Source organism: Homo sapiens, chromosome 13, assembly GCF_000001405.40.
Source record: "Homo sapiens chromosome 13, GRCh38.p14 Primary Assembly".
Lineage (NCBI taxonomy): Eukaryota > Metazoa > Chordata > Mammalia > Primates > Hominidae > Homo > Homo sapiens.
This window is the reverse complement of record NC_000013.11, coordinates 77099233-77123952: the sequence shown is the minus strand read 5'-3', so window position 1 is coordinate 77123952 and position 24720 is coordinate 77099233. Positions and strand designations below refer to the sequence as shown.

General features: G+C 33.4%; 1 protein-coding gene across 1 annotated transcript in view, besides 1 other annotated feature; it reads left to right on the top strand.

Moving 5' to 3' along the window:
• MYCBP2 (MYC binding protein 2) overlaps window positions 1-24720 on the top strand; it is a 282438-nt gene that overhangs the window by 203142 nt on the left and 54576 nt on the right. Inside the window, exon 55 of the mRNA NM_015057.5 lies at window positions 2458-2580. Within this exon, the coding sequence (NP_055872.4) occupies window positions 2458-2580 (123 nt within the window). The remainder of the gene's footprint in view (window positions 1-2457; window positions 2581-24720) is intronic.
• Window positions 5504-6005: an enhancer, noted in NCBI's record as "NANOG hESC enhancer chr13:77692083-77692584 (GRCh37/hg19 assembly coordinates)". NCBI's record gives its function as "activates a minimal SCP1, AML or CMV promoter by ChIP-STARR-seq in primed H9 embryonic stem cells {active_cell/tissue: H9 hESC(primed)}" and the evidence as "EXISTENCE:reporter gene assay evidence [ECO:0000049][PMID:30033119]".

The window sequence follows — 24720 nt, the reverse complement described above, 5'->3', positions numbered from 1 at the left end:
ACATTTACTAAATGACTTTTTCACTTACTATGTGCTTATTATATATTGCTGTATATTTACTTCATATTCATAAATTTTTAAACATTTTTCTTTATATAGGAATATTCAGATATAAATGAAAATACCTAAGGGGAGATCAGCTTTATTTAAGATAAGTTAAATATGAGAACAGCTTAGGTGACTTCTAAAGGACTTTTCTAGCTTAATCCTTAATAATTTTTTAACTGGCAGTACAAAAAATATGTAAGAGTGGATTCTGAAGCAGGACTGCCAGGGTACTGATCCCAGCTGTGCAACTTTTTACTCATGTGACCTTGACCAAGTTAACCTAATATCTCTGTGCCTCAGTTTTCCCATTTATAAAATGACCTTATAGGTCATAACCACATAAATTTGATATGAAGACTAAATGAGCAAATAACAGATAAAGCTAATGGATGGTAAGTTAGGTCTTATTGTTAAAATGCAAAATGCCTTCCATGCTAAGGATCAAGTTTTAACCTGGGAAATTTTATTCTTATAAACTTAGAAGATAGAAGCTTCTTTCAAGATAAAATGCCTCTTAAATTAGAGTATCATTTAAGAAAAGTTTAAATTTTTCTCTGTAATTAGTTAATCATCTTTTACTCTTGATGTATAGATACAGACATAAATATGGATATTTGGTGATCATGTGAATCTTACTATTTTAATATAAAACCTGGAGTGATAAGGAAAGAAATGATATGAAGTTAGTGCCTTTAAATCACTAAGATTAGTTGATGTGCTGCCCAAATAGTCTGTTCATTGGTGATAATATTTAATATGGAAGTACAAAGATTTGGCACTATGGTAATTTATATGAAGTCATGTGAGTAAAACAAAAGCTTTCCTCTTTGTAAAAATTCTCTATTGGTCTTTGAAATCTGTAGTAGGCAAAGTTACTGCTGTGGTAAAAACAGACTTCACTCTGGGTGCTAGACCATTCTTAGTCTAGAGAGGAAGCAGTGCTATCTTTTCCGTTCAGTTTACTGTTCATGGGTGTTTTTCTGAAGAAACATTCTACTGCTGAAATATTGCATGCTGAAGAGTATTGCCTAAGGGAAGTGCTAAGATTGGTTTTTTAAATCAAGTCTACAAATGCTGGTAAAGGGATAGATTATACAGTACCACTGGTTTAGCAGAATTGCAATTTACAGGTAGGAAGGAAACACTCTACCACACCCTGTCTGTAGTTCCCTGTTCTGTTTAAAGGACTATTGACTTTTTTTTTTTTTTTTTTTTGAGATGGAGTCTCGCTCTGTCACCCAGGCTGGGGTGCAGTGGCGCGATCTCGGCTCACTGCAAGCTCCGCCTCCCAGGTTCATGCCATTCTCCTGCCTCAGCCTCTCTGAGTAGCTGGGACTACAGGCGCCGGCCACCACGCCCGGCTAATTTTTTGTATTTTTAGTACAGAAGGGGTTTCACCGTGGTCTCGATCTCCTGACCTCGTGATCCGCCTGCCTTGGCCTCCCAAAGTGCTGGGATTACAAGCGTAAGCCACCGCGACCGGCCAAGGACTATTGACTTTTAAAAAAGATATTTAAGATACTTAAAGATATTTTAAAAATAAGATATTTAAAAATATACTTGAGATATTTTATTTTTCATAAGGTTATTTTAATGGAATAAATACCTTTTCCCCCCAATTTTACTTGACAGACTTTATTTTGCCTTTTTTGGCTGGCATTAATATGGATATTTAACTAAGGTATTGTTTTATATCAGACAGAGTCTTGGAGCCAGTTGATTGTTCATAGGGGATTAATTTAGTTTGCATATTTTATAGGTCACATCTTGCCATTTGTAAATGGATAAAACATTTGCCATTTTCTGCTTGAAATAAGAATTCTGATACATTTATAGACTCTGATTATGTAACATGGTTTATTATTATCCTTCTATTTGGGAAAAATATCTTTATGTGATAAAATAAGTTAAAAGTTAAGTTTTCCATAATTTTCACATTCATAACTTAGAACAGTTAACAAATGAAAATTCCTTTTGGTACTAGATACTTAGTTTTTTTCTCTATTCTAATACTAATATGCAAAATACTTTTATTTCTGGTTTATAGGTTATCCATTTTGTTTTGCAAAATACTCTTGTATAAATTTGTTGCAAATACAAAGAGTTCCTGGTCCAGAAATATTAGTATGCATTCAGTAATGTATCCTGCCACAATAAAAGTAAATTGGCTTCATAAGAGCCTATCTCATTTCTAAATTTCACTGTGTATTTGATAAATAAAAACAAAGATTTGTCAGGTGCTTTGTTAATGTTAAGATGACCTGACTGGTATTTAAATTGATCAAATCTAGATGTGAGCTTATTTTAAAATCTAACCATCATAAAATCTTTTGCAATTTTCTCTCTTTGTTGTATGAATAGGGAATAGCACGTAAGAAACTAATGTTACAGCTATGGCTTTTATTGTAGAACAAGCTCTTCTGGATCAGAATTCTCAAACTCCTCCTCCAAGCCCTTTCTCAGTGCAAGCTTTTAATAAAGGGGCAAGTTGCAGTGCCCAAGGATTTGATTATGGACTCGGAAATAGCAAAGGTAGGTATTTAAAAGTAAGTCTTTTACTTACCTAACTTCAATATTTTTTATTACCTTCTCTTTTATACACTTTTTATTTGTGTTCACCCAGAAATCTTTATTAAATTAAAATTTGTTCATGGAAAGCTAATAAAAAATGTTTACAAAGGTGTTCTTTTCATAGTATTGTTTTTTGCTGTTGTTTTTTGTTTTTAACCAGTTTTGGCTTAAGTTTATGAGAGTGCTTGCTTATTTTTTTTCTATTTAAAAAACACTCATTTTGATTTCATATCCTAAAGATTCTATTTCACTAAATCTAGTAAAATTTGATTTTTATCATCCACTTATTAGGATGGTAATGTTAATGAGAAACAGAGAACTTGCTCAAATGATCCATTTAAAATCAAACTATTACTTCTAAATAATATTTTTAAGTAATATTACACATGAGCTTTATAAAATTTATGTGGTTTTGAATTTCTAACCCAGTAATCTTAGTTAATTTAGAATTATGTGAAATGATCTGTTTGGTTTTAATATCTATAATAAAACCAGAAAGTTGTAAAAAGAAGAAAACCCTAAGTCATATGAATATAATATATATACAGCTGTTTTGGCTGCATTAATGGAAGAGACCAGCATCATGGACTGTCCAAACAATAGTTAATTTTGAAACAATTTATGCTGGAGGTTCATCAGAAATTGCATTTTTATGTGAATTCACACACTCTTGTTCTTTCCTATGTACCTGATCTAGACTCCTTCAAAATCAGCCCTATTGTCCACAGGTAACATACAGCTGGGTCATGAGTAAAAGGGAGCAGATAGCTTACGTGGAAATAATTTTACTTTAATTTTATTTAAATTAATTCACAGGACTTGATTCCAAGGGACAAATACAGTGTCATTATACCTGACTTGAAGAACAAGTGAAAAAATAAAACAGTGAACAAAATGTATAAGGAATATTCTGTTTAAAATAAAACTACTTCTATTGAATAGCTTCATTACTTTCCACAAAGTATTTTTATGAAGGAAACCTAGCCACAAGATTTTTTTTTACTCCCTTGGACTAGCCTATCTCATAGGATTGGGTATCATCTGCTCGCTTACTTCGGGTACCTGATTTCCATTAACTTAAGCTAGATCTTTGTACTTACATAGTGTAAATGCTTGGTGGTGTTTTCTTTATGTCCCTTTCTCTTTACCTTTGTCAACTCTTAAAATCTCAGCATTTGCTTACCGCTACTATATCTCTATATAGTAATGTTTTAAAGCCTTGTTTAACACAAATTGTATGCTTTCAGTCTTTAAACTGTCTGTCATTGTACTAATAGCTATCACAGTAAATCAGTCATTATAATTTATTAAAATATCATTAAAATAAATATAAATGTTTGAGACACAAACATTGCCGAGAAAATTTGTTATTATGTACAAATAATAAAGTATTACTTTTTAAACATGAGATTTTGTGAATATCGTTCAAAAATAGCATGCACCATGCCAGGCATAGTGGCTCATGCCTATAGTCCCAGCTACCTGGGAAGCTGAGGCAACAGGATCACTTGAGGCCAGGAGTTTAAGGATGTAGTCTGCTATAGTCGTGCCTGTGAATAGCCACACGCTCCATCCTGGGCAACAGAGCAGGATCCTGTTTCCTTAAAAAAATATTAATAATAAGCCTACTCTTGTTAACAAGCTTTTAAAATATTTAGAAGGAGCAAAGAAATAATAAGAAACTTAAACTTGATGAAATATATCTAACTTTATTATCTGTAACAGTAGTTCCCATTTTAACTCTTAATACTGTCCAAGATCGAAGAGCTGTTTTTTGTAAGTTTTTTTTTCTTAAAACAGTATTTTAGAAAATTCTTCATGATCTCTAAATTTTTTCCTATAATCTACAGCATTTATTTATTATTTCAAAAAAAGATATATGGCTCGTGTACACAGTTCTTTCCACATAAATCTATCCCGTGTAGGTACTTCAGTTGAAATTTTCACATATGAAACTTTATTATATTTCAGAAATATGACTAGAAAGATACTATTTTCCAGTTTCTGCATCACCTAGTCTGGATGTAGTTCCCTCTCCCCACCTCCAGCATCATTTAAACTATTTAATGTATACTCACAAATAAGGAGTTATTATCCATCACATAATTTCATTATCTTAAAAAAAATTTTTGTAAAACCTTTTGGTACAAGGAAAAATGTTAGAATCGATATTTTAGATACTATTCAAATTAGGTAGCTCATAATCCTTTTTGTCATATAGGACTTACAGATTTTTAAATTATTCATCTAAGCAAAATATTTCATGCTTTTAAAGTAGAATTTCTTTGGCAGTAACAACTTAAAAAAGAAAGTATTAATTTATAACTATAATGTAAACACATTGCTATGTTAATAACATACTTTGCCCCATTCTGCTTTTTGAAGAAAAACTGTTAATTGCTTATTTTCTGCATGAAATATACTGCCGATGAGGCAGGGTGGTATTAGTCATTGTTGGGAACTATGGAAAAGGCATCATTTACTTAAATCTTCATTTATATATGTTCAATATTGAAGCAATTTATCACTGATTCTTCATAGAGTCTTCGTTCTCCCATACATAATGAGAGATGTTATATATGAATTTAAATGGATTTGTTTTTATAGGTGGGCTTCTATATAAGATTTGGTGGGGCGCTTCCATTAAAAAAAAAAGCTTGCAAAATTCGGTCCCTAATCTGAGGATGATTAACAGTCACCAATTTTCACTCATTTCTGAATTGGCATGGTTTTATTTAGTGTTCAACTCTATCTGAATGTCATAAAGCACCATTTACTTTGCCATTTTGGATGTTAATGAATAACGAGTTGTAGTTTTGACTGTTTTACCCACTGCAGGTGACCAACTGAGTGCCATATTGAATTCCATTCAGTCACGACCCAATCTCCCAGCTCCTTCCATCTTTGATCAAGCTGCAAAACCTCCCTCTTCCCTAGTACACAGCCCATTTGTGTTCGGACAGCCCCTTTCCTTCCAGCAGCCTCAGCTTCAGAGTAAGTCTGTCAGCCTTACCTGCCTCATCAAGCATTTCTGAAGCTTTGTTCTGAGTTGCTTATCAGTTACTAATTAGTTATCAACTCACCTGACTGGTTTTTTTTAATTAGGATGTTATCCCCTCCCACATTTTTGAAATATCTAAGCTATTCTGAGCTAAGACATTCTGCAGCTAAGACATTTAAAGTTGATTTAAAGTTCATATGCATGACTATGGTAAGCATCACATACAGGGACAACTTTCAGTGGATTTTTCTTACTTCAAGATGTCCCAAAAGGATAAAGCCATTTCACTCTTATCAGTGGGTAGAAGAGAGACTGTACTTGTTTGGACAGGTTTGTTTGTTTTTTCTAAGTGAATTTGGTATCTATGAAATGTATGACAATTTAGTTTTCCCGGTTTTCTCAAATTGTTGTTTCCTGTCTTTATTTTTATTTTTTTGTTGTTGTTCCTAATATGTTAAATTGATCATTTGATTCCAGTTCTGTCTTTTAGGATTGCTCTAGTCCTTCATTCATGATAGTAATTCACATTGGTTTGGAAAAGATACCCAAAAAAATTATACTTAACTGAGTGTTCTTTTTTCTTAATAACCTCCTGAACCTTCCACCTAAACTTTTCAAAGCTCTGTCCAGTATGACAACAGTGTGTTCTTCTTGGCATTCAGTTCTCATGTTGGCTATACAATATATAAACACATTAATTGAATGAGCTAGTTTATGAAAGTTTCAGCTTGTATACCATTTTTCGGATTCAAATGCACAACCTCTTTGCTTTGGTAAAGTACATTCACACTTAGGTCTAAGTTATTTGTTTACAAAAATACTTTAATAACTGTTATTAGGGTCATGTAAAAGAATGCTAGCTGGTTTAGTTTTTATTAAAAACTAGGTTAGTATGTAGCTAGCAAATGATATTATTCATTACTTTATCCACCTTAGGTAAAGGGTACACAAGAGTATAAACTTTTCTGGGTTTCCACTATCCATTAGGAAAGTTTAATTGATGAAATTAATTAGTTTGGAAATATAAGTACTATCAATTTCTAGCTTATCATGTTCGTTCATGTATAATATTAATTTGAATGTCTATTAAGAGAAGAATTTCAAAGAAACAAAATAGTGTCACATGTGCGAAATAGTTTTTTCCTTCTATGATAAATATTATTTTAGAAGAATGAAACAGAAGTGAGGAGTTAGTTTATTAATTTTGTGTTGCATCAGACTTTTTACATTTAGAAGTACTACTTAGGTTTCAAGAAGTTTTAAAGGTAAGGACAAAGGGAAAAACAAAGGAAAAATATCAGGATCAGTCAGGTAGAAAATTTATACTAGAAAATTTAAATTCATTCATATTCAAATTCAGTTTTAAATGAAAAATTGCCTGTGTCATAGCAGTAGCAGACAAAAGAACTAAGGAGAAAGGAGAACCTTTTTGTTCTAGCTAAAGAATCATTGCAAGTCTTTACAAAAACAAGCATAATTACCATTTTAATTTTACCAAATTTAATTAATAAAATATTTCAAAACAATAAACAGTAATAAAAGTTGATTTGTCTCTTCCAGGGAATAACAGTTTCTAGGTGACATTGTGTCAATATAATTTTATGCATATGTGTTATCAGTACCACCACTTTATTTACCACTATCTTGAAGCAAATTTGAAATCATGGCTTAGCTATGTTTCAATTAGCAATTTTCTGAATCATTACTTGCCTATAGTCCAGCAATGGAAATTACTTAGGTCTTGTTTTAAACTTCTTATTCGCAACAGGACGTCTCTAAATTTTGACTTCCAAATTCCAGAAAATGGAAGTCTTAATCTTTAGCATCACAAAAAAAAGTATGGAATCTGAAAATAGTTTTAATTTTTTAAAATAATTCAGAATTGTATTTTTTATACCGTGTTGGGAAAGGTAAATGTGGCAAAGTGCCAACATTTAAGACTCCCCAAGCAAGGTATTCTTCCCTGAACCTCACTACCATGTATCCCACTAGTATATCACCTATGCTTTAGAAGATGGCTTATTCTTAGTGAACTTCCCTATGCTATTTAGTAAAATGAGATTTATTTTTGTTTTATACCTTTGTGATACTAAATAAATCATTATGTAGAAGACCATATTTACTCAACTTTGTTTATACTGATAGTCGCCACTATGTAGTAAACACTGTACTTAAGCACTTTGATACAGCCTCATTTGAGATACTGTCTCTTATGTCTGTTTTACAGAGAAGGAAACATAGGCTTAGAGAGGATAAATGATTTGCCCCAGAAACATACATAGTAAAATGGTAGAGCCAGAACTTGAGGTCAATTCTGTTGACTACAAAGGCTATTTTAAATATTCAGCCTTACCTCGGTAAATAATGCAAAATCTACTTTAATATATATATATTTTTAATTTATATTTAAACTAGGTCTGGCATCTAGAGTATTAGCTTTGTTCAGATTGATTATTTTTCTTTTTATAGTTTGACTTTTTTTAATGTAACAGTAGTTTGAATGGAAAAAAAGATTTCCTGAATGTCATAACTCAAGATCCTGGTTAACTAGAAAAATTCTACAAAGACACACATCAACCGGTGCATGGTTTAACTTCATCTAGCATTTCTATGAGCATTATTATCTGTAATTCTTTGGTTTTTTTTTTCCGAATCATAGTTTTTACACCTATCTTTGGAAATTTGAAAATAATCTGGCACATTAAGTTAATTTTTGATACCTTTTCTTTAGAATCAGGCAACATTTTATTCCATAAAATAGAATATTTGGTAATTTTTAAATTAGCAAAATTATTTGATTTTATATACGTAGAAATTATTTCAAGTGTTATTCTAGTGAAGTAGAATGTTATAGAAGTAAAAGTTAACAAATTTCCCTTGTCTTATGTGTGTGCACACAGAGACATGAAAAAGAAAAGTATGTATATAGAATTTTCTTTACTGTTCTACAATTTACTTTTTAATTTAAAAACTAATTATATAGTTTTTAGAATTGGTAAGCAATTTGGCAAAAAAATTTTAGTGAACCAAAGTGGAGAATGATATCTGTATCTGCTTTCTTTAAGAATATTACATTCCTTATTTTCATTATCACCATTTCTCTTGAAAGCTTCATTTTATGTCCTGTACCTTCTGACAGTGTCTTACACATCACAGGCATTCAAGGAGTGTTTATTGACTGTAGGTATTTAAGATTACCATTTCATCAATTTAAGATCTTGTGTTTTCTATTATGATATTCCATTGTTTACTCAGAGAACATCTTCAAAGAAGAGAATTTATTTCTTTCTCTTAGTAATTAAAGCCAACTATACTGTGACAATATGATGTATGATAATTGTGGGTTTATACTGATTGAATTCTAAGCAAGATTATCCAACTGAAAAACTATATTGCAAATGGCTTCATTTAACATAGCATTTTATCACTTTCTACCTACTGTTCCAGAGGCTGAATAGTTCATTTTTCAACTTTTATTTATTTGTTTGTGGTAGAAAAATGGCAAATAAAACTGAAGACAATTTGCTTTTCTCCCAGAAACTTTTTAATACTTTTTTTATTTTATAATGTTTTATTTTTAATTTTGATGGGTACATAGTAGACATCTTCCAGCAATTTCAAACATGAAATATATGATATATGTCAAAAGACAGTACTTTCAAGCACAGATATCATAGCTCTAGGTTACCTTGCAACAAGAGTTTTTCTATTATACTCATAAGTCACATTCTTATGTGGGACAAAAAAAATTAAATGTGACCCCAAAATTCATTTGGATATCTGCATGACTATTTATTTACATTTGAGAATATGAACACACTAAAGTACTATGTTTACTTAGCTTGTAGAAACATAGTCATGGAAAGACTTTCAGCTCAGATTTCCCTTCCAGCTACTTACTAGCTCTCTAAGTTATCTGACAGGTCTGAATTTTTGTTACCTCATTATAAAATGGGATTCCCAATAAATGTTATCTTTTGATGTTATTATTGCCTTTTGATGCAAATACTTAATACCTCTCATGCTTTGAGGAAAATATAGAAAAAGTCCTTCTCTAAAAGAGAGCAATCTATTCTTGGTGTGGAATGAGTTGCAGGAAGGAATTTAGAAAGGGACAAATGAGCTTTCCTAGTTCCTTTTGGGTCTATTTTTGCAATGTAATTCAGTTACCTATTTTAAGATTCTTAATGTATTTAGACTGCATTCAGATGTTAGTGTGAATGTTAGCATAAAAGCCAGGTTTGTTTGTAAGGCTTAGACTGAGTCATTTCTACCCCGGATTATAATCTCAGCACTGTATTTGTCAGTTTGTTGTTTGCCTGCTTTGAAGGTATGTGGATGAAGCACTTGATTTAGGAATGAGGACCTGTGGGATTTAATCCCTGTTTTAGAAGATTAGAGTCAGCATTGGTTCACATATCAAAGTTTAATAAAACTTTTCCACTTGACTTTATAACATCTGTCACAACAACCAACATATTTATTTTAGTTTTGGGGCTAACATCTCCAGCATCCCTACAAATACAAATCATTTTAGGCATGGGCTTGAATTTATCTTCACTGAGCTGAGCCATCTTCTCAGTGACCTAAAAGCTTTGACCCAGGTATTTTGTTTTGCTGCTTCATCAGTGATTTATTCATCCACCCTTTACTTCATCCTAGGAATTCAAACCACAAAGAATGCTGATGTTGCTTACAAGACATTTTGTCCCAGTGCATTTGTTTGCTTTCTCCTGGCTTGATTTGACCTTTTATCTCTCCCTCTTCCCCCACCTCTTTGTTTGCTACTGTGTTTATTTCACCCTTCATTACCATCTTTCTTTAGATGACTTATTCATTCTTCCATTTATTCACCTGCTTTTGTTAAGTATCTACTCTGTGCTAGGTTATGGTGATGAGCAAGGTTAAAAAAAAAACAAAAAACCATGATCACTGATCTTGAAGGCTTCTAGAATATTTTAAGAGATACAACCTAGTTAAAGAAAAAATAATGGCATGTTTTAAGTGCAACAAGAGCAGTAGTCACAGGATGCAATGGAAACATAGGAAAGCTTCTGGCTCAGCTAGGAGAGGTTAGAGAAACATTCAAAAAAGAGGCAGGTCCTACTCAGAGTGTTGAAGGACTTGTGAGAATTTATCAGGCAAGGAGGAGTGGAGATGAGGAAGGAGGTTAATGGAGCATTCCAACTATAAGGATAACATGAGTTACATTACAGAGATCCAATGAATCACAAAGTATTTTATTGAGTCCACCTACGTGTCAGGCAGTGTACTAAGCACTGTTCATGCAGAGGGCCAGTTTGGAGTAATGAAACTCCAAAGTTTGATTAGAATAGGCTTAGGAGAAAACGGGGAAGGAGAAATTGGAGACAATGAGTATAGAGAAGTGTGTCAAGATTTGATCTAAAGAGAAGATACTAAGAGAGAAGATACAAGATCTGGAGAGGTTTTTGTTCTATTTTGTTTGTTAATGGAAAAAAAAGTATATCAAGGTTGTTTTCTAATGAGAGTAATTCAGTTGAAAGAAATATTAATAATGCAGGAGGGTGAGGAGAATTACTGGCACAATATTCTTTTATAGAAGAGGGGATGCAGACCAGGCGTAGTGGCTCACACCTATATTCCCAGCATTTGGCAAGGCCAAGGTAGAAGGATGGCTTGAGGCCAGGAGTTTGAGACCAGCCAAGACAACATAGCAAGTCCTTGTTTCTATAAAAATTAAGAAAAATTTTTTTAAAGATCAGCTGGGCATAGTGATGCACACCTGTAATCCTAGCTACTTGAGAGGCTGAAGCAGGCAAATCACTTAAGCCCAGGAGTTCGAGGCTGCAGTCAGCCATAATTGCATGCCACCCCACTCTAGCCTGAGCAACAGAGTGAGACCTTGTCTCTAATATGTATATATACAGATATAATATATAATATATAAAATACATTCTATATAAAATATATATTATATATTATATAAATAAAATATTATATATAAAATATATATTATATAAATAAAACATTATATATAAAATATATATTTTATATATATATAATATAAAGAAGAGGGGATACAGTCCAGTGCAAAGTGGAAAGGTTGGCTAAGTGGGATCATAAATAGTTATCCATCATAACAAGCAAGAAAGAAGTATGTATATTATTGGGAGCTCTTTTTTCTAAGTAAAATAGGAAGCACTTATCAGCTCGGAGTTACCATGGAGAGACTGCATTGATAGTTTGAGGAAAGAGAAGATATGAGATTTTAAAAGCTAACATATGTCAAATATTTATCACATGCCAGGCACCATTCATGGGAATCAACTTTTATCCCTGTCCAAGAACATGGTTCACTTGAGAAACTTCATGCATGTGCAGCTTTAAGTGACCTAGTGTCAGTGTCTTAGACTAGAGAGGTTGGGGCTGGATCATGAAGGGTCTTGTAAGCCATACTTAGTTTAGACTTTATGTGCAGTGAATAAATGGAGGGAGCACATGGAGGAAATTGTTCTGCAGAATTTTAAATAAAAAGAGTGATATGATCAGTTTTACATTTGGGACAGATAACTGAAAATATTATGAAAAAGGTCCTGGAGAAAGGGAGAATGTTGGAGGCAAAGAATCCAGAGAAAAGCTGAGTAGGGTTTAAGCTAAGGTTAATTGCAGGGAGAATGTAGAAGAAATATTTAGGCAGTAAAATGCTTAGGACCAGTCTGGACAACAAAGCGAGACCCTGTCTCTACTTAAAAGAAAAAAAAAAAAAATTAGCCAAGCATTGAGGGCTGCACCTATATTCCTGGCTACTTGGGAGGCTGAAGCAGGAGGATTCCTTGAGCCCAGGAGTTTGAGGCTGCAGTGAGCAGCCTGGGCGAAAAGAGCAAGACCCTGCCTCTTAAAAAAAAAAAAAAAAAGGAAGTGACATGCTGATTAAAGTTAGGAGCCAGTCTCAAATGACATCTACTTTTATGCTCTGTTTTGAAAGGTAATATCTTATCTAGTACCAAGAATAAAACACAAAACCACCTTTTAAGGAAAAATGAGTTCGGTTGGATGACTTAGCTCCAGTTGGCTATAATATAACTTGAAATTGAGAAATATATTTAGCATTCTCATAATTAAAGATGGCATTGTTGACTGACAAGTTGAAAATAGAAAATTATTCATATATTACATTTTATTAAAAAATATTATTAAAGCATTCTCATGATTTTGCACTCAATTTAGGAAGGATTAGGTCTGCTATATCTCCCACTTTGTTATTCTCTCAAACTTCTGTACCTGTAGTATATCTCATTACTTAAGCTGAACAAAACGTTCATTTTTTGTAATCAGACTTCTCATCCTTATCATCAGATTGTCTTTCCTCCTTTGGTTTATTTAAGAAGTGTGCATCAGCAGCAGCCGTTATGTCTTATGATGGCATAATTTCAAGTGTTCTAGGGGCCTAAGAAGTTATCCAGCTCTCATTTTGAGATGAGAGAATTCTTGCTGACTTGCCCAAAGTCATAGCTGGCAAATCTAGGACTTGAACATGAGAGTCTGTATTGGGGGAACCCGCCCCCAATATTTCAACGTAGGTTCTTTCTATTTTCCCTAAGCATTGGCCAGTCTGAGAAAAAAAGAGAAAGAGTACAAAGAGGAATTTTACAGCTGGGCCTCTGGCGGTGACATCACATATTGGTAGGACCGTGATGTCCTCTGAGCCACAAAACCAGCAGGTTTTTATTAAGCAGGTTTTTATCAAAAAGGGAGGGGATGCAAGAACAGGGAGTAGGTCACAAAGATCACATGCCTTAAAGGGCAAAAAGATCACAAGGCAAAGGGCAAAGCAAAGATCACAAGGCAGAGGGCAAAATTAAAATTACTGATGAGGGTCTATGTTCAGCTGTGCACGTATTGTCTTGATAAACATCTTAACAGAAAACAGGGTTCAAGAGCAGAGAACCGATCTGACCTCAATTTCACCAGGGTGGGGTTTTTTCCCCGCCTTCTGAGCCTGAGGGTACTGCAGGAGACCAGGGCGTATTTCAGTCCTTATCTCAACCGAATAAGACAGACACTCCCAGAGCAGCCGTTTATAGACCTCCCCCCAGGAATGCAATTCTTTTCTTAGGGTCTTAATATTTAATATTCCTTGCTAGGAGAAGAATTTAGTGATATCTCTCCTACTTGCACATCTGTTTATAGGCTCTCTGTAAGAAGAAAAATGTGGCTCTATTCTGCCTAACCCCGCAGGCAGTCAGACCTTATGGTTGTCTTCCCTTGTTCCTTGAAAATCGCTGTTGTTCTGTTCATTTTCAAGGTGCACTGATTTCATGTTGTTCAAACACACATGTTTTACAATCAATTTGTACAATAATGGTCCTGAGGTGACGTACATTCTCAGCTTACAAAGATAACAGGATTAAGAGATTAAAGTAAAGACAGGCATAAGAAACTGTAAGAGTATTATTTGGGAACTGATAAATGTCCATGAAATCTTCACAATTTATGTTCAGAGATTGCAGTAAAAACAGGTGTAAGAAATTATAAAAGTATTAATTTGGGGAACTGATAAATGTCCATGAAATCTTCACAATTTATGTTCCTCTGCCACGGTTCCAGCCAGTCCCTCCATTCAGGATCTCTGACTTTCCGCAACAAGTCTGCTAACTCATTCCAGTGGTTTTTTCCAACTGCATCTCAGTTATCTTACATAGACTGCAAGAAGTGAGAAAGACAAGAGGTTATCTAGTCCAGCCTTGCTATTTTATAGTTTAAATCCCTCAACCACATCCCTGATGAACTTTTGCCAGGCCGGTAATTAACAATATCACAAGGCTGTTCTGATTGTCTGTATTTCTCAGTGTTTGTTAGAGCAGGGATGTCCAACCCCCAGGCCACAGACCAATACTGGTCCAAGGCCTGTTAGGAACCCAGCTGTACAGCAGGAGGAGAGCATTACTGTCTCAGCTCTACTTCCTGTCAGATCAGCTGCGGCATTAGATTCTCATAAGAGTGCAAACCCTAGTATGAACTGTGCATGCAAGGGATCTAGGTTGAGAGCTCCTCATGAGAATCTAATGCCTGATGATCTGAGGTGGAGCAGTTCCATCTTGAGACTATTTCCCCAACCCCCCATCATATGGAAAAATTGTCTCCCAAGAAACCAGTCCCTGGTCCCAGAAAGTTAGGGGACCATTGTGTTAGAGAACTAAGGAAACCGTCCTCTACCTGCCACATAAGAATAAAGGAAACAATGGAACAGTTTCCCTACTTTCCCTAATTAACACGTATTCCCATTTTGAGGCAGTGAGTTGCTGGTACCTGCTTTCTCCTTCTTTCTCCAAATAGTACTTTAAAAGTATCTTATCCTGGCTGGGCACAGTGGCTCATGCCTGTAATCCCAGCACTTTGGGAGGATGAGGCGGGTGAATCACGAGGTCGACCATCCTGGCTAACACAGTGAAACCCCGTCTCTACTAAAAATACAAAAAATTAGCTGGGTGTGGTGGCAGGCACCTGTAGTCCCAGCTACTCAGGAAGCTGAGGCGGGAGAATGGTGTAAACCTGGGAGGCAGAGCTTGCAGTGAGCTGAGATCGTGCCTCTGCACTTTAGCCTGGGCAACAGAGCAAGACTCCATCTCAAAAAAAAAAAAAAAATAAAGTATCTTATCCTAAAAGCACTTCTGTTTTTGGTTTAGGTTTTAGCTGTCTTTGTGCTGCGTAAGCGTTGTCTCTTTCTCAGGATGTCACTTCTGGAGGCAGGAAAGGGTTATGGTTAATGCTAATCACTTTATCAAAATGTCTGATTTCTCTGATGTATAATTAATATTTTTCCCTTGCAACTAATAAGCAACTTGTGGGAGTAAGATTTTTACTTTTAAAAGCATATCCAACCTTCTTGTGTCTCAAGTTAATGCTCGGGAAGCAATACCTGTCTCTTATATTTTGAAGTTATTCTTTCTAAGGCCTAAGATATATACCCATCAAATTATGCTCAGAATTTTTGTCTCAGCCATCACAAACCCTGAAATGATACGCTTTTCCTAAGTGTTATTTTCCTTAACCATATTTACTAGAGATTTGGAATATATTCAATAATATGCTATGAGTATGTTTTCTTCAAGTTCAATTATGTGTAGATGTCATTTAGAGAAACAGTATATTTTGGGGGGAATCCACTTTATGTGTCCCATCTTCTTTCCACATTCAGATCATGTGGATTAATGTCATAGTCTAGTAAAAAGCTTGTTTCTATTTTATCCTTAAGTTTAAAATGTTGTTCTTTCATTCTATTAGCATGATTCTTTTAGTATACTAACATTTATGTAAATAAGTCTTACATAAATACAGTTATATAAACAAATCTTTAGTCTAATTCTTTTAGTATACCAACATTTATGTAAATAAATCTTAGTTTCTGTTCCACGTCCTAAGCTGCTTTACCATTCACATAATTCCATATTCCTCCTAAGTTTACTACAAAGAAGAATATTAGATGTATTGATTATGCAGTGATACTGCATCTAAAGCTGTCAGTCAAGAATGGCTGCCATAGCTAAGAGTATATACAAATCATCACTGTTACTTTATTTTATTTTTTTAATTTTATGTATTTATTTATTTTTTTGAGACAATTTCACTCTGTCGCCCACACTGGAGTACAGTGGTGCAATCTAGGCTCACTGCAACCTCCCTCTCCCAGGCTCTAGTGATCCTCCCACCTCTGCCTCCTGAGTAGTGAGGACTGGAGGCGAGTGTCCCCACACCTGCCTAATTTTTGTATTTTTTTGTGGAAATGGGGTTTCACCATGTTGCCTAAGCTGGTCTCAAACTCCTGGGCTCAAGCAATTTGATTGCCTTGGCCTACCAAAGTGCTAGGATAACGGACTTGAGCCACTGTGCCTAGTCCTGTCACTTTCTGAAAAATCCTATGAAGCATTAATAGAAGTAAAATCACACTTAATTATGCCTGTTTTTAAATCTGCATATTGTTTGATTAATCACATCTTTTGGCCAAGTTGAAGGCATAATTTATATATTGTCTATAAGAATCAATAAACTAGTTTCTAAATATGTTTTAAATAAATAATTTAAAAATTAATTTCTCAAATATCCTCAACTATAAAGTTAGACCTATTTACTGTTTCTTGTAGGAGCCTATTGCTGTCAAAAATATCTGAAGTTCTATTCAGAGAAAAATAGAAATGCACAATGACTGGGACTTAAGCTGAGGAAAGTCAGCAACACTGTTCCCATCATTCTACCATAAATGTGGCAAAATCTTATTGTTTGTGACAGATCTATAGAATTAGATTTTCTTATATCTAAAGAAATATATATAAATACATAAACGTAGGTATGTATAGCATGAACAGAATACAGTGCTATTTGACCATTGTCACAAGACTTATTTATAAAACCTCCTCAAGCTCTTGCCAATATCTTAGTTAAGATTGCATCTAAGGTGGGAGGAGGATGAAGATTGAAGAACTGTCAGGTAATGCTTGATTACCTGGGTGACAAAATTATGTTTACACCAAACCCCCATGACACACAGTTTACCCATGTAACAAACCTACACATGTCCCCCTTGAACCTAAAATAAAAGTTGGAAAGAAAAAAATTGGAAAGAAAAAAAAGGAACTTAAAGAGAAGAAAAAGATTGTATCTAGTAGTTTTACTAAGACTATAAAATTTCTGACGGCTCCACTACCTCCTCAAGATTGAGAACTAAACAACATGAGAAGCACAATTACATGCCAAAGATTCTTTTTGCTGTCTTCATTTGTAGCATCCCAGTGGAATGTCTTTGAAAAAAATTTTTTTTATCTGTATTATCTCACCTGCTCTGAGTATTGGTGACAGTGATATATGCATTGTGATTAGACGCCTAGCCTCCTGAATATAATGTATTTCCAGTATATTGTCCTTCTGAATAGCCTGTTTACAATTCTTTGAACATTGCCTGCCAATAATTTAGCAAATTGTTATTGAATGTCACAGCTTGATTATAGAACATAGTAAGAAATCAACAAATTGAACACCAAACTGAATTTAATGCTAAAAATTATCCTTTTAAAAAATAATGTATTACTAATTTTTACTCATGAAATTTAACATTTCCAATCATTGCTTAGTTGTTGACTCAACACTCAAAAATAATATATGCTACTTTTAAAATCCCAAAACCTCCAGATTTGTGTACTGCCACCAGGTGTTGACAGGTGCCTTGATTCTTCTAGTTTGTGGTTCCAGAGATAAGGTCAGGGTCCTGATACAGCAAAACCACCATTTGTCTTTGTTAAACTGAAATGAGAATGCGTTCCTTATTGGAAAGAAAAGTTACACGGTTTTATTATTATCATCAGTACTTAGAGAAGACTTAAAAAGTACAACTTAAAATGAACTCAAAGTTTCTGTGACTAGGAAATGATATGACTCAGGGAATTTAATACTTGGGATCCAAAACAAAGAAAACAAAATGACCCATAAAGAACCATGTTGTTTATGAGGGCAAACTATAGTAAGCAAACAATATTAACTTCAAATGAGCACTGGAGAAAAATCCTGATTCTTTAAAATTGTTTTTAATATTATTCTCTTAAACTTAGTGATACCCAAAAAAGAATCAAAATTTTGTGGAGAGGAATATAATAACTGGTTGTCTTATCTGTATTAACAGGATTTTGTAAAAGCATTATTATTTCTGTCAATTGATTTTTAAAACATCTATCAACTTTTTTTCTTTTGTGTATAGATATCAATGTATCTCATAGATTGCTTCCCTTTTTTAAATTAAAAAGTATAAATCTTTATAAAAATTAACTATAACTTTATGAAAGTATGTTTAAACTTGAGCAGATTTTGTAAAAATTTAATGTGTAGAACATGTGTTGTTTTCAGCAACAGCTTAATTTCTTTAGTCACTTAACCTTTTTTAGACTTTTGTTTTTAAAAATATTTCTTTTTTTCACTCTGAATCATACCTAGGAATCAAGTCTCTCTAGCCTTTGTAATATATTGAAAAGACTTGAAGGCCATTTTGCCTTCAAACTTTTTTCCAGGAGTTTGTCCTTAAACCTCTAACATCTTATAAGTTTCCTCATAGTTTTTCACATTTCTGTTTTATGTGTGCTTCCAATTAAGATGGTATTCTTCTGATTTCCTATTCCTGTGTCTTCCTGCTATGTGGAGTCTTCACAGATTTTTAGCAGCCAGGCCAGGAGATTGTATTCCTTCCTATATTGGCAGGTTGGATTCCCCCTGAATTAACTCTTCCATTCAGAGGCTGCCACCGTTCTAGTTCGTGTCTTGAAGAATTGTATCACCCTCCTAACTGATATTTTAACAATAGCTGCAAACTCCTTATTATATGACACTTAAATAGCATAAGAGCTCCTTTTGCAGCACCTGACATCTTTTGAGGTTTATAGATTTGTTCAAAATGAAGGATGTACAAAAATATTAAAAATTTAACTTTTTAAAACTTAGATTAAGATGGCTTTATGCCATGGTATGTTGCTATCTACTCCTCCCATTGTCTCTTGAGCCCACTGCATTCCAGCTTTAGTCCCTATCCTCGGAAACTGCTGTAGTCAGTCTGTGACTTTTGTGTTGCCAAATTCAGTTGTCGGTTCTAAGGTGTCAGTTTTACTTAATCTGTCAGCAGTATTTGACAGAGTTGGTCTTTCTTCCTAGAAACACATTCATTTGCCTGCCGGATATTTCCTGCCTTACTGGCTGCTGAATTCTAGTCTCCTTTCTACATCCTCATCTATTTGGTCATCTAGAAATGTCCTAGGGCTTTGGCCTCTTCTAGGCGTCACTCCCAAAGTGGTATTCTGCAGTCATGGAGAATGACACATCTGTAGGCATATGACTCCCAAGTTTCTCAGCACCTGATGTGATGTATACTTATTTGTTCATTCCCTCTCTCCTTTCTCCTAAATATAAACTCTGTGAGAATAGGGACTTTGTTCCTGTTCACCACTGTGTCTGCAATGCATAGAACAGTATCTAACACGTAATATATACTCATACTTTACATTGAATGATTTCTTAATTTATGGGTCATTCATCATTAATCTTGATCATAATAATGAATCAGCCGAAAACAGCACTTTTTTTAAGAAAAGTGTGTGTTATGTCTAGTTTATTTCAATAATACTAAGACAACTATCTCCTTACTACCTGAATTTATTTCAGCACAACCGATTAATTTTAATTGCTATGAGTTAAAAACTTTAAATACAGTGAGTTTTTTTAAATTCAGATAGAGATGTTTTTTAGCTTACTGCTTTTAAAAGACTGCAATTTAAAGGTTCTGTTAATTCTTCAAAAAAAGATAAATTAAGTGCTTCATTTTCCTGCATAGTAAATCATTGACGTTCCTAACATTTTTTCAATAACTTATAAATTTTCTTTGCTTTGTTTGTGTTGTGACACGTTGTGTAAATGAGATTTGATATCAGAAGTAGGATCTACAAAACAAACACTAAATACTGGGGTTAGTACTAACGTTTTCACTGAAGATGGACCCAGAAAAGTAGCCAAACACAGTGTCACCCCGAGTCCATTCTGAGATACATACTGGAAAATTATAGTAATCGGTTCATTCAGGAAACCAAGTGACAATAGGTTAAGCCATGAGTAATATAAGTAATATAAGTAACATTTCTTTATCTTCCACTATTAAAAAAAAACTTGTAAATCTTTATTTAAATGAACACCAAATTAAAGAAAACTGAGCCAAAGAAATGTAAGTCTAAAATGAAATGCTCAATTTTGATTTATCAGAGATATAAGCCTTACTAAGTTTTAAGTTAACAAATTTGGACCTTAACACATATTAATCTAAATTAATTAATTCGACCTTTGTTTTCAGTTTTAGAGAAATGTAAACTTGTTCAAAAATATAGCAGAATATAAACTATTTAAAATAACAGTTTATACTTGCATACCATTTGAAATGCTTTGTTTTTGCTTGTGTTCTCTGCTAAATTTTTTTTCCATTGAATCTGTGCTGCTTCTTTGCCAATGTTTTCCACTGTAGAATCTCCATCTCGCAACCTTGCTTCTCGTGAGCGCATTTACAAAAATTATGGTGTAGCTGGGCCTGCCTCTGCTCTCTCATCTCTGTCTCACAAACTGAAGGGTGGGTATACATGCATTCATGGATGGGCCATTCTTAATGAACATAAGGAGTGTCATTAAAGATGTTTCCGTTCGTCTCAGTCATGTTCATGCCATTCCATTTTTTTAATTAAAGTTTATCATTTTATTTACATTTATATATGTTTGAGTAATTTATGATGCTCCTATTCAGTATTATAATATAGATTATCCCAGTAGCTATGCATGTTTATTACATCTATAGGTTAAACATTACTCTTACTTAATTTTAAAACTTTATGAGATCATTAAAATTAAAATAGGTATAAGGAAAGAATTACCTAATTGGGGGAATTTTTGAAATCATTTTTATCAGAAAAAGATGATATATGTGCAAGGCATAAAGCACATTTTTTAGTCTTAAACTTATTGTTATATAATATAAAAATCATTTTACTATTTTAGTCTTTTATGAGAAACACTGATAATGAACTTAAAGTTTTTAAGTTTAAATTAGTTATTAGGACTCATGTGTCTATTTATATTTATATGTAAACCTACCTGTCCTATCTGGCATAAATTTTTCTAATATTGTTTTCCTAGTGACTAAGTTTTAATATTTTAAACTTAGAAATGTTTAAACTATTGACAATTGACAAAATTTCAGACAATTTAAAAATATGTTTTTGGTTTTTTGAAACACTACAGATGCCTACTTAAATATTTTGTCTTAAAGTATTATTTAATTAAATTTAAATCTTGTAAATCTTTTAAAATCTTGTATTTAAATAAAATTTTATCAAAAAGAACTTTTACAGCAATGCCTAACATATTGTATAAGTTTTTCAACTAATTACTGATTTTCTTTTTTTCTTAGAAATAGATAAAACAGCTATATGTTTCTCATTATACAATTGACAGTATAAACATATAAATAGGAAATATAAAAATATACTAAATAGTATTGTACAACCTGTGCTATATAGTATATAGTATTGTGTGTAATAGCATATAGTATCATGTAACCTGATATATGCTATATATCATGCCATGTGATATATGCATATAGTATTATGATATAGTATGATCCTGATAATTTAAGATTTGGGCATGAAAAAATGTATGGGTCATTTAGTGAATGAATGCTTACCATTTAACATGTTTAGTAACATTTAACTTGCTTGCCCTAAGTTTCTATCCTGTCATTATTATTTCTTCAGGTTTCCTTTAAAGTTAGAAAAATGTTTGCATATTATCATTTAAATGTAAAAGTACAGTCATTAAATAAATTAGGAGATGAATGTGAAAGTATTACGTATAGTCTGAAGATTTTTAGCAAACTGTTTATATTTGTTGGTATTTTGAGCAGCCACAACATACAATTTTTAGTAATATTTAATAACATGCTGCAAAACATTTGAAACACAAATGAAGCAGATAAACATAAATTAGCACAGGGGCTTACCCCACTTAACAAGCATAGTTTTTTTTAATATATAAAATACGTTTTGGAAAAATAAATTTTTCAAAAAGATTTAGTTATCATTTGAGAAATACATCTGAAAAAGAAATATTTCTGCCATTATTTGTATGCCTAAACTTCAACAGGTATTTAGCTGTCACCACTTACAGATCTTAAGAAAATATTCACCACTATTAGAGATATAATAAGATATACAAATGCCTATTCTTTCTAACACTATGTAATAAACTTTTTTGCTCACATATGACAAGTGGTGTTCCTGGTATTTGGCAGATTCCATTTTTCAGGCAACCACAGAGGTTGTTTTCATGATGAGTAAATAACCTACCATTGTAAGTTCATATGCATTCCTAGAATAGAGGTAGCATCAGCAGGTATTCACCATTCCTTTGCATGCAGCTGTTGTGCAGGTCAACCACTAAGACACATCTGACACAGGGAGTAGGTAATCTTTGTCACGAACCCTTCCTATTTGTTAGAAATCCTACACAAGTTGTCCTTTTTTATAAATTAGAGAGAAAACCTCTTTCAGTTTACAGATGGATTTTTTGGAGAAAGGGATACCAAATATAAAAGACTTACTAATTGTTTGTCTAGATTCCCATTATGTGTGGTTCAGTTTCTGAAATAAATGTGATGATAAAGGTGATAAACATGTCTCCAGCTGTCAGATTAATAACAAAAAACAAGTATTCCAAACATCACATACTCAAAATTAATGGCCATGACTACTGATTTAATCTACCAAATATAATTTGTTTACCAAATTTGCCATATGCTGTTACTAGGTCAGTAAGATTAGATGGGTAGCAATTTTTTGAACTACTTTTGAACAGTTTAAGGGTACTTATTCATAGATCACATCTGTTTATCTGTGCTCTCCCAAGACAGCATTGATAGTTAGAATTCTAAATTGGGATTTTTTTAACCCTTTTTTCAAAACTTAGCCCCATCTGTTAATACTGTATTTATAAAACAGAGCACATAATATGATAAAGGAGGTTAATGATTGAATAATGAAGCTTTGCAAGAAACTAAAAAGCATTATGTTTTAGTTACTTTTATTCATCCAAAGAACAGGAAAAATTATCTTAAATATTGGCATGTTGCAATTAAACATTTAGTTCATCAGTGTGCCCTGTATAAAGTACTTGCCATACTCTATTATTTCACCATGTAATTACTCAGTTTGCAAGCATCTAACCCTTGCACATCAATAACTAATGTCACCTCTGTCCTGTGGCCTTGGGAGCCTTAATTGTAAAAAGTAGACTTCTGGAGAAGCTGAATACTTGGGAGTAGCAGAAGAAAAAAATCAAGAAAATTGGAATATATTACTCATTCAACACATATTTATTGAATACCTACTGTATTCCTGGATTCATTCTTGGTATTACATCAGTGAAGAGTAACAGACAAAAATACCTGCCCTTGACAAAGACTGGGGCAGATTCTCCAGCACTACTGTCCTGAGCCATAGAGAAATAGAGCGTGACTATACACACTTAACACATGCACGGAAGCATAAAAAACATTTTCCTACATCATCTGAATTTGTTCACATCCTTTTTTCTTTTAAAAAATAATAACATGCAGTTATAGCCAGTTAACAAATCTACCTTAATTTCCTAGGAACTGTCTTTGAAAAAATATAAATACTTCCAGATAGGTTTATGGATTTTCAGTTTTTTATACCACTTGAAACCCTTCAGTCAGATTGCTTTTCTCCTAACAACTAACTGGTATCACTTGCACTAAGAGTAGAAGTTTTTATTTTAAGGAGGAAAGGTGATGTTGAAGTTTGTACCATTTACTTGGGTCACAGACAGCCTGGCTCTAATGCCTCAAAGAAAAGCATAAAATAGAATGAAGGAGAGACACTGAATGAAGGCAGGGTGCTAAAAACAATTAATGTCCATGCAGAAACATCTAATGCTTTGCCTTAGAAAAGGGAGGTGATTCTTCTTTTCATCCTGTTTTTCTGTCATTCTCCTGACTCCTTGTTTTGAGGGTCCACAGTTCAGACTTTTACCACTCATTCTGAGGATCCACCGTTTCTGTGGTTTCCAAGGGAACACAGGCTCTGAGTTCTAAGCAGCTAAGCTTCCTGAACTTTTGGAGTGTAACCTGTTTATAAATAATTAAATAACAGCTTCAGGGCATTCATGTGCTCATTGTAAACTAGTCTAATCTGATCATAAAACAGAGTGCCTCTTAAGCAACTCTTTGTTAGCCTAATTGTATGCATACACTTAAAAATTATAATTGTGTCTATGCATAAATTCAGTTCTCTAATTCAACAAAACCCATACCGTTGCCCTAAGGATGCGAGGTATCACTCTGCTGGAAATTTAGCTCTACTCTACATTTAAAATACAAGTTTTCACATTAAATAATTTCTTATTCCCCAAAAGATTAATTTCTGTCTCTTTCTAGTCCCTCACTGAATTTAAATTCTAACTAGTTATTGCACTAGGGCAGAGGTTGAGATATCACTGATAGTTCACACTGGATTTGTTCAACCTGTTGTTTTGCG